General features: G+C 37.8%; 1 protein-coding gene across 4 annotated transcripts in view; it reads left to right on the forward strand.

Annotated features, from left to right (window-relative positions):
- Nucleotides 1–12,579, forward strand: part of CDH7 (cadherin 7) — a 140,086-nt gene that overhangs the window by 46,000 nt on the left and 81,507 nt on the right. The window lies entirely within an intron of this gene.

Raw genomic sequence — 12,579 nt, forward strand, 5'->3', positions numbered from 1 at the left:
AATAACCCAATGTCCTTTTTTCCACAAGCCATTACTAAATAGACATTTTGAAATTATAGAATAAATTTTTTTTGGATACAATAGTCTGAAAATGTTCTAAAAACACTCCTGACTTTCCCAAGGTGGCATAAGTACAAAATTCCTATGTGTCAAGTTATAAATTATTTTAAAATAAGGCAACATTACACACCCAGAACTCAGTCTCCCATGCCTTGTGCAGTTCCTGGGATGTACAATATACATTAGGTAGCTACTACATATTTATTGACTGTGTTAATTATTGTAGTTTACCCACATTTATTTAGACGAGATGTACAGAGTTTCGGGAATAGAAGAGATCTTTAAGACCCCTTGGTTCAACCTGTTTTGTAGATGAACAAAGTAAAGATCAGACAAAGTACCGATGGCCCCAGGTTGTCCAACATCAGAGCGACACAAGGGCACGAGACCCCGAATCCCATGGCTGTCATGCATGTTGGATAACACAGGCTTGAAGCAGTTTTAATATCATGCTGACTCGCTTGAGCAATTCTAATTATGTTGCTGAAGAGGTTGTTTGATTCATCTTGAATCCCAGTTCTATGGACTAATAAATAATCGAATATACTTCTATATTTGATACTCATTTGGGCAGAAGGAGTGAAGAGTCAAACTGTGAAATAAATGTAGCCGTTAAGAAAATAGGAAACCTATTACAGTTTAAAAATCTAAACAGAAATTAAACAGCTGAAAAGCTAAACAGAATTTTGCAGAAAGTAGTCTTCCTCAAGCAGTGGTGTTACTGATTCTTCCTTGCCTGTTCCTCAGTTCCGTGATGTGGTCCACTCTCTCCAGGTGGTGTTAGTGGTGGCCTCCTGTTAACACCAGAGCAACCAATATGCAAAAACAAAAACAACAACAGCAACAACAACAAAATCATGGCCAGTCTCTCCTAGGAAAACCAATATGCCTTTCCAGAGTCCATGGGATAATGTTAATGGCTATTTGAGAATGTCGTATTCTCCCATCAGCCTAATTATTGACTTTATTGTGGTCTTTGCCTGTTTCTTCCACCTCACTCTCTTTTTTCCCTTTTTCTTCCTATTGATTTCTGCCAATTTTATTACATTTCTTTATGAAAATGTTTATCCTTAGGGATTTAACAACTGCAGTCAAGATGGTTGGTGTGCAGGAAAGCAGGGGATGGAAGTTTCTCTGGTTGCAGAGATGAGTCCCCAAGAGGGCTTAGAAGAGACTTTGTTTTCCTCATCTATTTCTAAATAATATTTTGCTTAGAGAAGAAAACCTCTCTTAGGCGTCCTTAGGTCACCTGGGGCAGAGTATAGTCTTATTATTCTTTATATCTGCTCTATTTTAGAAGAGACAATTACATATCCCATGGAGGGTCTTGTTATGTGAACCAGGTTTGTTTTTCATTTAGAAGCATTAGTGTTCTGAAATTGAAATTATGCCAGAGACTTTTTGAGGTAAGCTTTTAAAAATTTGTAACTTCTCAGCAAATTATTTCAAACGTTCTGCAGACATGCTTATTTTCCCTCTTTTATAGCTAGTTAATAAACCTATTTCTCCTCTGTCTTTCAAAATGATAGTACAATGGAAGAACATTTACCTCAAACTTCCTCTGTATTTCTCTCTTCTTTTTAGGCCAGTGGCTCTTACCTTGGGTATGTAGTAGTTTGACCCAGGAAGATTTTACAAATAAAATAGCCTGGGAGTATGGATGGATATTCTGACTGAATTATTCAGTAGTGTAGTCTGAACATCACAGCACTTGAGCGAACATAAGATACTCAACCCTTGGCATAGAGAACTAAGGAGGAGGGCATGCAAACTGGGTCGCTGGCTTCCCTGAGCTAAGGCAATTTTGCTTCTTTCTCTTCTCAAATAAAGAACACCAGAATGAATTCTTCATGCTCTTGGGATTGGTCCATTCACAGTGTGAAGTTTCCATAAATCAAAGCATTTGAGAGCATGGAAAAATAAGAGTATGTCAGATATCTACTGAAAGAAACGAGTGACACACTGCCTGGGGCTACAACTTTTATGAATTTTGCCATTTGACAGCCTTTGCTTCAGTGGCTTCTTCTTCTGATCAGCAAGTACACATCTCTCAACAAATGACATAAATGTTCCCCTCTGTCACCTGTGCCTCTGAAGGAGAGAGCATGGTATGCATGAGTACCAAGGAGCCAAGCTCTGTGATTCATTAGTTACTGAGTTGGAAATGTGTGTGCATGCTGCAGGTCAGGTTGCATAAGAAACAGACCTGGACCAGGGATTTACCCATAGGGAATTTATTGGTGTGCATTCTTGGAATAAACACTTGTGAGGGAGAAAAGAAGGAAGTAGGATTGGGCAGTAAAAGTTGTTGAGCAAAGCAGCCTAGGACTTGGCTGACCTTGTGGGGAGGTCAGGAGTAGGGAAGGGTCTTCATAGTTGTCTTGAGCTAAAGGGAAAAGGAGGAGCTTTAAAGGCTCACAGCAGCCAATCACTGGATGTGGCCTGTTCTTAAGAAAGATGTGTTATCTTTGGTCAAGGTGGCTCTCTTCAACTGAGGATGATTTTTGGAAAGGCCTTAGCTGAGATGTGTTGGCCACCAGCACACGAATGTTTCATTTGGTGAGGCACGCAGGGGATCTGGGAGGCTTTCGTGACGTGCCCTAGAGTCAGCCCCTTGCACACTCATTTCCACTTGCTTCATGTGGTAAGTTCAGGAAACAGTTCCTGCATACATATGTTAGGCCCTCTTTCCTGCTGGAATTCACAAGAAGATTAGGAATCTCCAGGTTGCAAGTGGTACTCATCACATCCTTCTCATCTACAACTCCTCCTTGGACAGGCTCTTTGACTTGTCCATTTGCCATTAAGATGGACAAGAGAACATCAAGAGACACTCTAGTGCCCAGATACTAACAGAAGCCCCCATTAGGTAAGAGAAGCCCACCTGCTCCTGATGATCAAGATAGGTTACACCTACGAGGATTGTGACACTTGTCCTAGTCTGCTGGTCCCTTGGTGCCAGGAGTCCCAAGAGAATGGGGCAGACATACCTTGTGAACCTGGTAGGATCACCCTGCTGTAGGAAAGAGAAGCATACATCAACCCCCAGTGAGTCAACAGGAGTGAGGTAAGAAGGACAATCCTGGCCGGGTGCGGTGGCTCAAGCCTGTAATCCCAGCACTTTGGGAGGCCGAGGTGGGCGGATCACGAGGTCAGGAGATCGAGACCATCCTGGCTAAAGAGGTGAAACCCCGTCTCTACTAAAAACACAAAAATTAGCCGGGCATGGTGGCGGGTGCCTGTAGTCCCAGCTACTCGGGAGGCTGAGGCAGGAGAATGACGTGAACCCAGGAGGCGGAGCTTGCAGTGAGCTGAGATCTCGCCACTGCAGTGCAGCCTGGGTGACAGAGCGAGACTCTGTGTCAAAAAAAAAAAAAGTACAATCCCACTCTGATCCTTTGGTTCTTGGTCTTCAGTGTTCTACTTACCCCCAGAAGCTGTGTGACATACCCACAGTGAATACTCCCCAAATTAGCTTCTCATTCTTTTGGGTTTCCCTGAAACATGAACTATGGCAAAAAGGAAATTGTTTGCCCTCTCTCTCTCATGAATGATTGAAATAGTTTTCGTGTGATTTAGAATTTAAGTATAGCCACTATAAAAAATATATCAACACATGCTATTTTATGGGTACATAAATATACACTGCATACTTCTTCTTCTGTACTATTTTTAGTTACAGAAAGGACAGTTCCCTTTTGAGTAAAATATATAAAACAAATCAAAACAGATTAAATTTTATGTAACAACTCTAGAAGACATTTTCTTTTTACTTTTTATTTTTTTGAGACGAAGTCTTATTCTGTCGCCCAGGCTGGAGTGAAGTGGTGTGATCTTGGCTCACTGCAACCTCCATCTCCCAGGTTCAAGTGATTCTCCTGCCTCAGCCTCCCGAGTAGCTGGGACTACAGGTGCGTGCCACCTTGCCTGGCTTATTTTTTGTATTTTTAATAGAGACAGGGTTTCACCATGTTAGCCAGGATGGTCTCGATCTCCTGACCTTGTGATCCTCCCGCCTTAGCCTCCCAGAGTGCTGGGATTACAGCCGTCAGCCACAGTGGCCAGCCAACTCTAGAAGGCATTTTAAATTCAATATACTTAAAAGTAATTAACTATTTCCAGCACCAATATTATTGATAAAAACCGGTTTGTGTGCTGGTGGTGTTTCTGACCTGGAGTGCTGGTTGAAAATAGATTTCTGGTCCCAAATCAAAGATTCTAGTTCTGTAGACCTCAGGCAGAGCTCAAAAATTTGCATTTTAACCAACATCCCACTTGATGTTAGAAACTAGAAACCTACATACTAAATTTCACAAAATAATAAAGTGATTAGCAAAATAGTAGGAGAAGATGAATAAACTATTCTATACTCTTTAAAATTTTTTAAATTATTTAAATAGATGTTTATAGAATATAGGTTATAATATATTTATGTGATAAGACCTCTTTTTATAGATCTCATGCCAAAATTAATTATTCTGTATTATACCTTGGTGGATTCTGTGTGTTACTCAGTCAGAGTATCCCTAGAAAGGAATTGATTTCATCTTTTAGTCAAGTCTATTCCTGGAAATCAAGTTCCTCCCCTTCATTGTGAAACTAACTCTTAGGAGCATCCTTTTTGTCCCAACTTAAATATCATTTCTTTAAAAAGCACTTCCCTGAACCCCGGGCTCAGCTTGGTTTTCCTGCCATATGATTTCTTGGTGTTCTTGCTTTTGTGTGGTCACCAAAATTACAATTATTTGTTCAACTTTCTACACTGATAGCATACCCCACTGTAAGCTCATGAAGGCGGGGGTTACTTGATTCAAGACTTTAGGCTCCCTCTTGTTACCCCTTCTGGTTTTCATCCACAAGTCCCAATAAGCCAGACATATAGTAGATAGTCCATAGTTATTTTTAATAGGTGATTAGTATATGTTGAGTGTTTAGATGAAGAAACAAACAGGCTAGATTCAATTTATCAGGACAATCTAGTTTAGGCATCGGGATATGCAAATTGTATCCATCTAGTCCACATAATAGCTACTGTGCACTAGATGATACTAGTTTTAACGTGGTACTTCAAATAACAGCTAAAGGGACACTTTTAATCTGTAATTTTTACAAAGATGCTAGAAAGGATGAACTAGACAAATACTAAACACCCAAGAGAGAATCATTGAGACCAACTTTTCTAAATAAATATTACCGAATAGCAATGTATATGCACACTTTTGATGGATTTAGAGTTAACAGTCAGAGCCTCCTTACCAAGATCTAGTTAGTAAGTTTAAGAGTTGAATGGCTAAGTCACCATCTGTCCTCTTCTTGGCTAGCTCCTTTTCAGTTTGCCCTCCTTGTTCTGTGTTATCGCTGACGTTCTGTGTTTGTCCATATCTTTGTCTAGGCATTGGCTTCCATTAGGCCACATTGAACAAATATTATTCTTATATCAGAATTGAAAAGATACTTTAGAAAATTCTCTCTTTAGATGATACAAGTGTTGACATTTTCTCCCCTTAACCAAATGCAGACTCTAAAATTTTATTTCCATTGCTTTAGCTGTTATTGTTGGTATTTTCTAATGGACAAAGCAGTGTAGTGCAGACAACTCCAAGAAATAGTTTGCAAACACCTTATGCTATTGGTGTCTGCGACACGTACATGCATACCTTCTCCAAAATGCCAGGTACAAAACATTTGTGCAAGTCTTAAGGATGAGCTCTCAGATTGCTCTCTGCCTTCATTGTGGTGAGTTTCTTCCAGTCATCTCTAATGTTATGACAGGGAAGAAGTGTTAGATGGACTTTTGCCTAGAAGCATTCAAAAGAGTTTTCATGTAGGGTTTTTATTCATGGGCCCAGTGCTTCTCAATGGACCTGTGATGAAAGGCTAAGGGGTTTTTTGTTGTTGGTTGTGTTTTTGTGCACACATTTGTTTTTTAAGAACACACTATACTATTGTCACTGGATGCTAGTTTTGTAAAATGCAATAAAAATAAATTTCTTAGATGAAAAAATCAGTTCCCATTATTTTCATTATTGTATTTGGGTTCAACAGACATGAAATTATTTGGTGAGCTGACTATAACAGTTTCTAAGCCATTCCTCTCAAATTCTGTTTTTATCTTAATTCAGAAAAACCAATACCTCACTTTGAGTGGTGATACTTTTGCCTTGGTTATAGACGTTTTCTGCTCAACCAGCCCCATTTTAAAAAGTAAAATTAAAAGTTCTTCTTTTGATAAAGAGCTTAGCCTCTCCAGGGGTTGCTTTTAAGTGCTTCTGGCCTATTTCATGGAGTTTACAACTAAGAGAGCAAGGTACTCTCCTATCCGGCGAGCCCTCAAGTAGAGAACATGAAGCATTCACAATTACACTAAGCGAGGATGAAGCCTCAGCTTCAATTTTGATCATTAAGAATTCGACTGTAGGCAGATTTCTTAAGTTGTGTGAGAGTTGTGGATCTGGTCTGGAGACAGCAATCAGAGATAGGATGAGTGGGGTTTTCTTTAGGGAAGTGAATGTAGCTGTGTGGAATAAAGAATGCTTCTTTGAGTTGCTGTCTTTTGGTCCCTGATGAAAAATCTGTGTCGGTGAACATGAAGCTCTAAGTAACCATGTCATAGGCACAGATCCTTGGAACCTTTTGGTTCCAAGGCAGGACTGTTTTCCCTAAGGAATGCAGATAATTATATTACACCACTATATGGAAATGTATTAATATGGATGGAAATTTTGATTTTACAAAATTACTTCCAAATGCATCTTTTTATTTTATCCTCACGTCAACATTCAAAGCCAATTGTACATTTACAGATATGGATCTATAACAGATGAATAAACTGGGACCCAAGCACCATCAAGACAGCACAACATGGAGCAGAATGGAGATTCAGTAGCCATACCTGGGGCTTCTTTGCATTGACCTTCCAATTGGGCCACTCTGCCTCTAAGAAAATGGACCGTGACCCCCTAGAATGGCTGTTTCTCACAAGTGAATTACTGTGAACTTTTTCTGAGAATAAAAACAATATGAGTAGTATTTTTTCTTTTCATTTGTTACTTAATAAAAGAAATGATATTTAGGGCAATATTACCATTACCTATGCACTTCCTGAATTATGTCTCTTTCCTTTATTCTTGTTTGTAAAACAATTAATATCTTCTTAAACCACACGTCTTCATTAGAGATGCTTTATAAGTGAATTGTGTTCCATTACCTTGAACCACAGTAATAATTATAAATTAGGAATACTTCAACCAGAAAGAAATGACTCATACATTTGTTTTCATCTGTAACATTTATTCAACAGCTTGATAATTGCAATATATACAGTGGTATGTGGAAAATATTTATTAAAAGACATAATAGAAAACTTGTTTATAATATGTATATTCAGGCATTTTTACTTCTGCCAATCATTGTTTAAATCTACCTTCTATACTTAAAATTTTAACCTTGTAAAATTTTAATAAAATTACCCTGTATGGGTTCTAATAATCTGGAATACACTTTTATTCTTTAAAAGTGAGGAATCTAGAATAAGTAAATCAGTGGTTAAAAAAAAAAAAAGAACACACACACTTTTTACTTTGCCATCATTACTTCATTTGTTGACACAAATGCAATAGCAGTATAAGTTTTATTTATATTACAGTGTATTTTTTCTTATTCCAACGTTCATTTTAAGGAAAACTTTAATACAAAGCTGCAATTATTGTCATCCTTATTGTCAATAAGTCAGTGAGCATCACAGAGGTTTTAGTTTCTAGTTTCGTTTATTAGTGTTAAAGCTTTCACAATACATATTATCTCTTTCATAAAATTTCACCTTATGTTTATAGATGGTCTTTTTGTGGCATGAAAATTTAGTATTTTTTTCAAAGGCAAAGACATCAAAAAGTGCAACTCTAACATTATAACAATTTACCTTTATGAATCCCATTCCACTGTATCATCTCAAGTAGTGGTCACAATTATGCAAGTTCAAGTGTGAATATATTTATCTCCATTTTACAGGGCTAAGCTTTAGGTAGTAAAGATAAGATCATCAGTAAGATCAAATAACAAGCAGAGTTTAAGAAGTACTAGAGGAAAGAAAAGTTGGTTAATATATTGAATTGATTGTTTTTACCTTTATCTCTTAAATTGAGGATATTTGCCATTATCAGACTTTTATTTAAGCAGATGGATTGAAAGTGGTAGACCAGGTAGTTCATATCATGCTTAGTCTGGTTATATAGATGTAAAAAGATCACCAGAATAGCAGTGCATTGCTCTTTTAGTTTTGGGCTCTACAATCTTTAATTTAAAAATAAGGAGGGTAAAAATTTAATGAAGGTAATGGAGATTCTGGCACCCAAGGACATGCAAGCACGTTTCAACCCTCCCTTAACACACGTGTGTGTGTGTGTGTGTGTGTGTGTATTTATGAGAGAGAGAAAAAGGGAGAGAGAACTACTGTATAAAAGCTGAGGAAACAGGAGTAAGAAAGATGCCTGTTTCTACCAGGGCTCTGTCTCCTGGGGAACATAAACATGTAAGTGTGAAAGTACAAAATCACACACTAAATGTTACCATGAGCAACAAAGCAAGGCATCTGAACTCCATCTAAGTGGTTCAGAGGATTATGGAGAACAAACCAGAGATACAGGATGTTTTTTGTTTTGTTTTATTTTTTTTTCTTTAAAAAGCTATTAAAACTTAAATGGACAGAAATTGAAATAAAACAAATACTGCTGTTTTTCAAAGTGGATTATAAATTTACCAAATTTAATACAACAGACTTTATTAAGAATGTAGAACATAGTGATAAAAAGAACTTAGTTCTAAAGGAGTTTATAAATTAAAGTTGGATATAAAAATAACTAGATTTTCAATATAAAGCAGAATTAAATGAATTCTGTCATAGAAATTGAAACAAGAAACTACAGAAAATAAACAAGACAGTTGTAAGACTTCAGGAAAAGGGAATTTGCATCGAGCTGAATTGGATGTCTGTGAGTGGGTGTGTTGGGAAGCATGGAAATGCTTGCTATGCTCAGGCAGTGAGAACTAGTCCAGCATGCTTGGACCATAGACTACACTGTGAGATGTGGGAAAACGAGGCCTGGGAGATAGTATGGAGTCAGATTGGGACTCATGCCTAGAATTTTCGGTTAAATCCATAGACTGTGGGAAGCAATTAAATATATTTGGTGAGCATGCTGAAAAGGCCAAAGAAGGAGGATCAAGAGTCAGCCAAGTAAATGTTCCATTCACTTTGAAATAACTTCAAAAGAGTTGAATTCTCAGCAAAGATGTACTTTCCATAGGCTCTAAAATGAGCATGAACATAGCAATAGATGCTTCCTGGAATAAACAGCCACAATTGGCTGGACCATCGGGAAGCTCCGGGCCATGCCCAGGGGCCGATCCATCATGAAAGTCCTTCAGGCTAACATTGTTGTGCAAATATGAGATATTATGATATCTCAGTGTTATCTTTCAGCACTTATTGATAAAGATACTCTTGTAGACAAAAACGTTTAATGAGGGGTGTGATATAATTTAATATATGTTTTAGAGGAAATAATTTGATTATGACAGGCTAGGCAATGTGAGTTATTAAAATTAAAAAAAAAATGAGGTGTTTTGCAATAGCCCAAGTGAAAGGTTTGAAGATTCTAAACTAGGATTATGATTCAGAATGAATGAAAAAGGGCTCAGATACAATAGACTCATGGTGGAGGGTGCTCTATCAAGCAGGGCCTGATGGAACATTAATAGATTATTCAGAAATATATTTTAGGATACATGTAAAATGTGATTTGCATTCATGGTCTATGTAGTTTATGAGAGTCTGATTGATATTTCTTACATATTAATACATGATGCTGACATAATGACACAGGATTTACATAATTGCACCTCCTCCTCAGCTTATTTTTTGCCTTATCATGAGCTAGATTCAGCTAAGGATTCTATGCCTCTCACTTTTTGTGCTCATTTGAAAAAAAAAAAATCTTTAAATAGTTACTTCAAAGTCAAAACAAATACTTTGAAAAGGATTTAGGAACCCAGGCAGTAAAGGTAAGTTTTGTCTGCTTATTAATAGAGATTTTTTTTTTGTTATTGTTTAGGCTAATCTCAGGTTCACATTTGCAAGGGTATCTGTGAGTACAATAGACCTAGGTGATTCCTATTCTGCCCCCAAATAGAGCACAAATACTTGTCTTTGGTTGCGTTTATTTTGTTTATGTACTTATTTACCATTTTATAGGATCATAGTTTGTTTTTTTCTTGGTCAAAGGTTTTCACAGTAGAGAGTAACATTTTTCTGTTCAGGTTGTAATAGTTATTCTCAAAGGTGTCCATGCATGTGTGTGTGTGTGTGTGTCCGTGAGTGTGCACGTGCCTGCAGAGACACTTGTCAACTTAAGAACGTGATTTGCTATTTCTACACTTGGCAACATTTCTCTTCTTTGCTGAGCACTCTTTTTCATCAAGGAGAGAGGAGTTTTTTACTAAGAGTGTGGATTTCACTCCACCTGTTAGGATTAGTATAATGCACAAAGTCTCACAGATTAAATGTCTGAATGCCTCAGATAATTATGTACCTGTTTTAACAATTCAAAGTTGGTCAATTTTAACCACAGATGCTTACAGTAACTTTGCAAAGACACTGAGTTTAGACTCCAAGCAATTTTCTGCTTGTGAATTTTGGCAGTGGTTAGAAGCCTAGTGATGGTACCAGCTGGGAGAAAATTGTCAGCGATGGGAAGAATAGTAAAGTTTAGGACTTCTGAAACAGGATGTGTGCGTGGGGGTGGGGTGGGGCACGGCTGGGGCATGGGTAGGTAATAGAAGAGAAAGAATTTGATTGTTGAATGATTGGAGAAGCAAGCAGTATGAAACTTTTAAGTTCTGATGCTGTCAGTAATGGAGAACAACTGACAACCCCGTAATGTTTAATAAAACGCAGCATCAGAGCTCAGGTTGAAGTTCACAGTCAGGGCTTACTGTGTGATTTTTCTTGAAAATAAATTTATTTTGTCTCTCATACTTGGAATACCACAGGGACATTGTAGCACCATGCCAGGAAAACAGTGATCAGTTGGTGGGAATTAGGTAAATGAATCATAAGAGCTTGTTCTGTAAATGAAAGTCGTTAATGTGATTTCAGTGTAAAAAAGCTTTGATTAAAGACATGACCCATGTATATAATTGATATTTCTTGTGGTCTTCTGGATGTTCTTCTAACATTGCACACCACTGTCAGCAGTAACGTGTAGGTAAGTTGCTACCAGGTGCCGCCCCATAGGAGCACAGATGAGGGTGAGGGAGCATTAGGAGAGCAGCACTGAGCGTTAAGCGGCCCGGGGACTGGAAGCTTAAAAACAACTTATTTTCATCCATCATCTGCATTTGTCTTGGGAGTCAAGTCTTTTGCTATGTGCTGCTGAGTGTAGTGGAGTTTACTGTTATGTAATGGCAAGAAGGAACCCTTCTCATAAGTCATAAAATGCACACATGGAAACCACTGGAAGCACTGAGCTTCTTGAAGATTTGGGGGGGTGATCAGGTGGGGTTGGTTGCATAGTCCCTTCTTTCCTCAAGTTCCCCTTTGCATCAGCTCTTGAAGACCCTAGCACACAGGGCAACAATTCCTATCCTGGAGCCTGGATCTCGTTATAGGGAGTGGGGATGTGGGCTTTAGACCAGCCTGCCAGCTTTTATAATCCTGGATCTGCCAGAGAGTTGGCCAGGCCACTTCAGGCAAAGTTCTTAGCCTTTCTTTACCTCAGTTTCCTCGTCTGTTAGTAGGATTAAGGGCAGATGTGAATATTGAATGAATTACTATGTAAATAATGTTCTACCCATGTAACAAACCTTCACATGTACCTCCAAACCTAAATAAAAGTTTCTGCTTTGTTTTGTTTTTAAAAAAAGAATGTTAAGCATAGTGACTGACATCTAGGAAGTTCTTAATAATTAAAACTATAATAATTCTCATATTTCACCCTTTGTATTATAAATTAGAGGGAGATACATATATAATAGTAACCCTAAAAATGACTTAAGACAGTTAAATAATTCACAATAGTTGAAGAACACACCTTTTCCCTACACTGAATAAACATATGGCTTAGGATCCACTAGATAATTCACACTGAAAAAAGTTAAATTATAACTTGTGCCAGAAATTTACTTTTTGTGTTATTTAGTCCTACAGAAACCAAAAGGTAAATCAGGTATTCAAGTACTTGGAAGCAGAGGATAAACATGGCCGTTACAGTGCAGGGAAAGAATCACTTACAGAAATTCAAGGTACAAAAGGCAATGTCCTCAACAGCTACAGGGAAGGATGAAAATGTACTGTGTCCATACTTTCCTTGGTGTTTTTTTTTCATATGTTATATATCTTTAGCACCTTGTCTTTTAAAAAATGCAAACATAGTTCTTAAGGGCAGTGAAAAGCTTTATTATTTGGTAAATTGAGTTTTTACATTCATATTAACCAAAGTGCAGAATGATGGCAGTTATAGGGGG

This window comes from Homo sapiens, chromosome 18 (assembly GCF_000001405.40).
Source record: "Homo sapiens chromosome 18, GRCh38.p14 Primary Assembly".
NCBI lineage: Eukaryota > Metazoa > Chordata > Mammalia > Primates > Hominidae > Homo > Homo sapiens.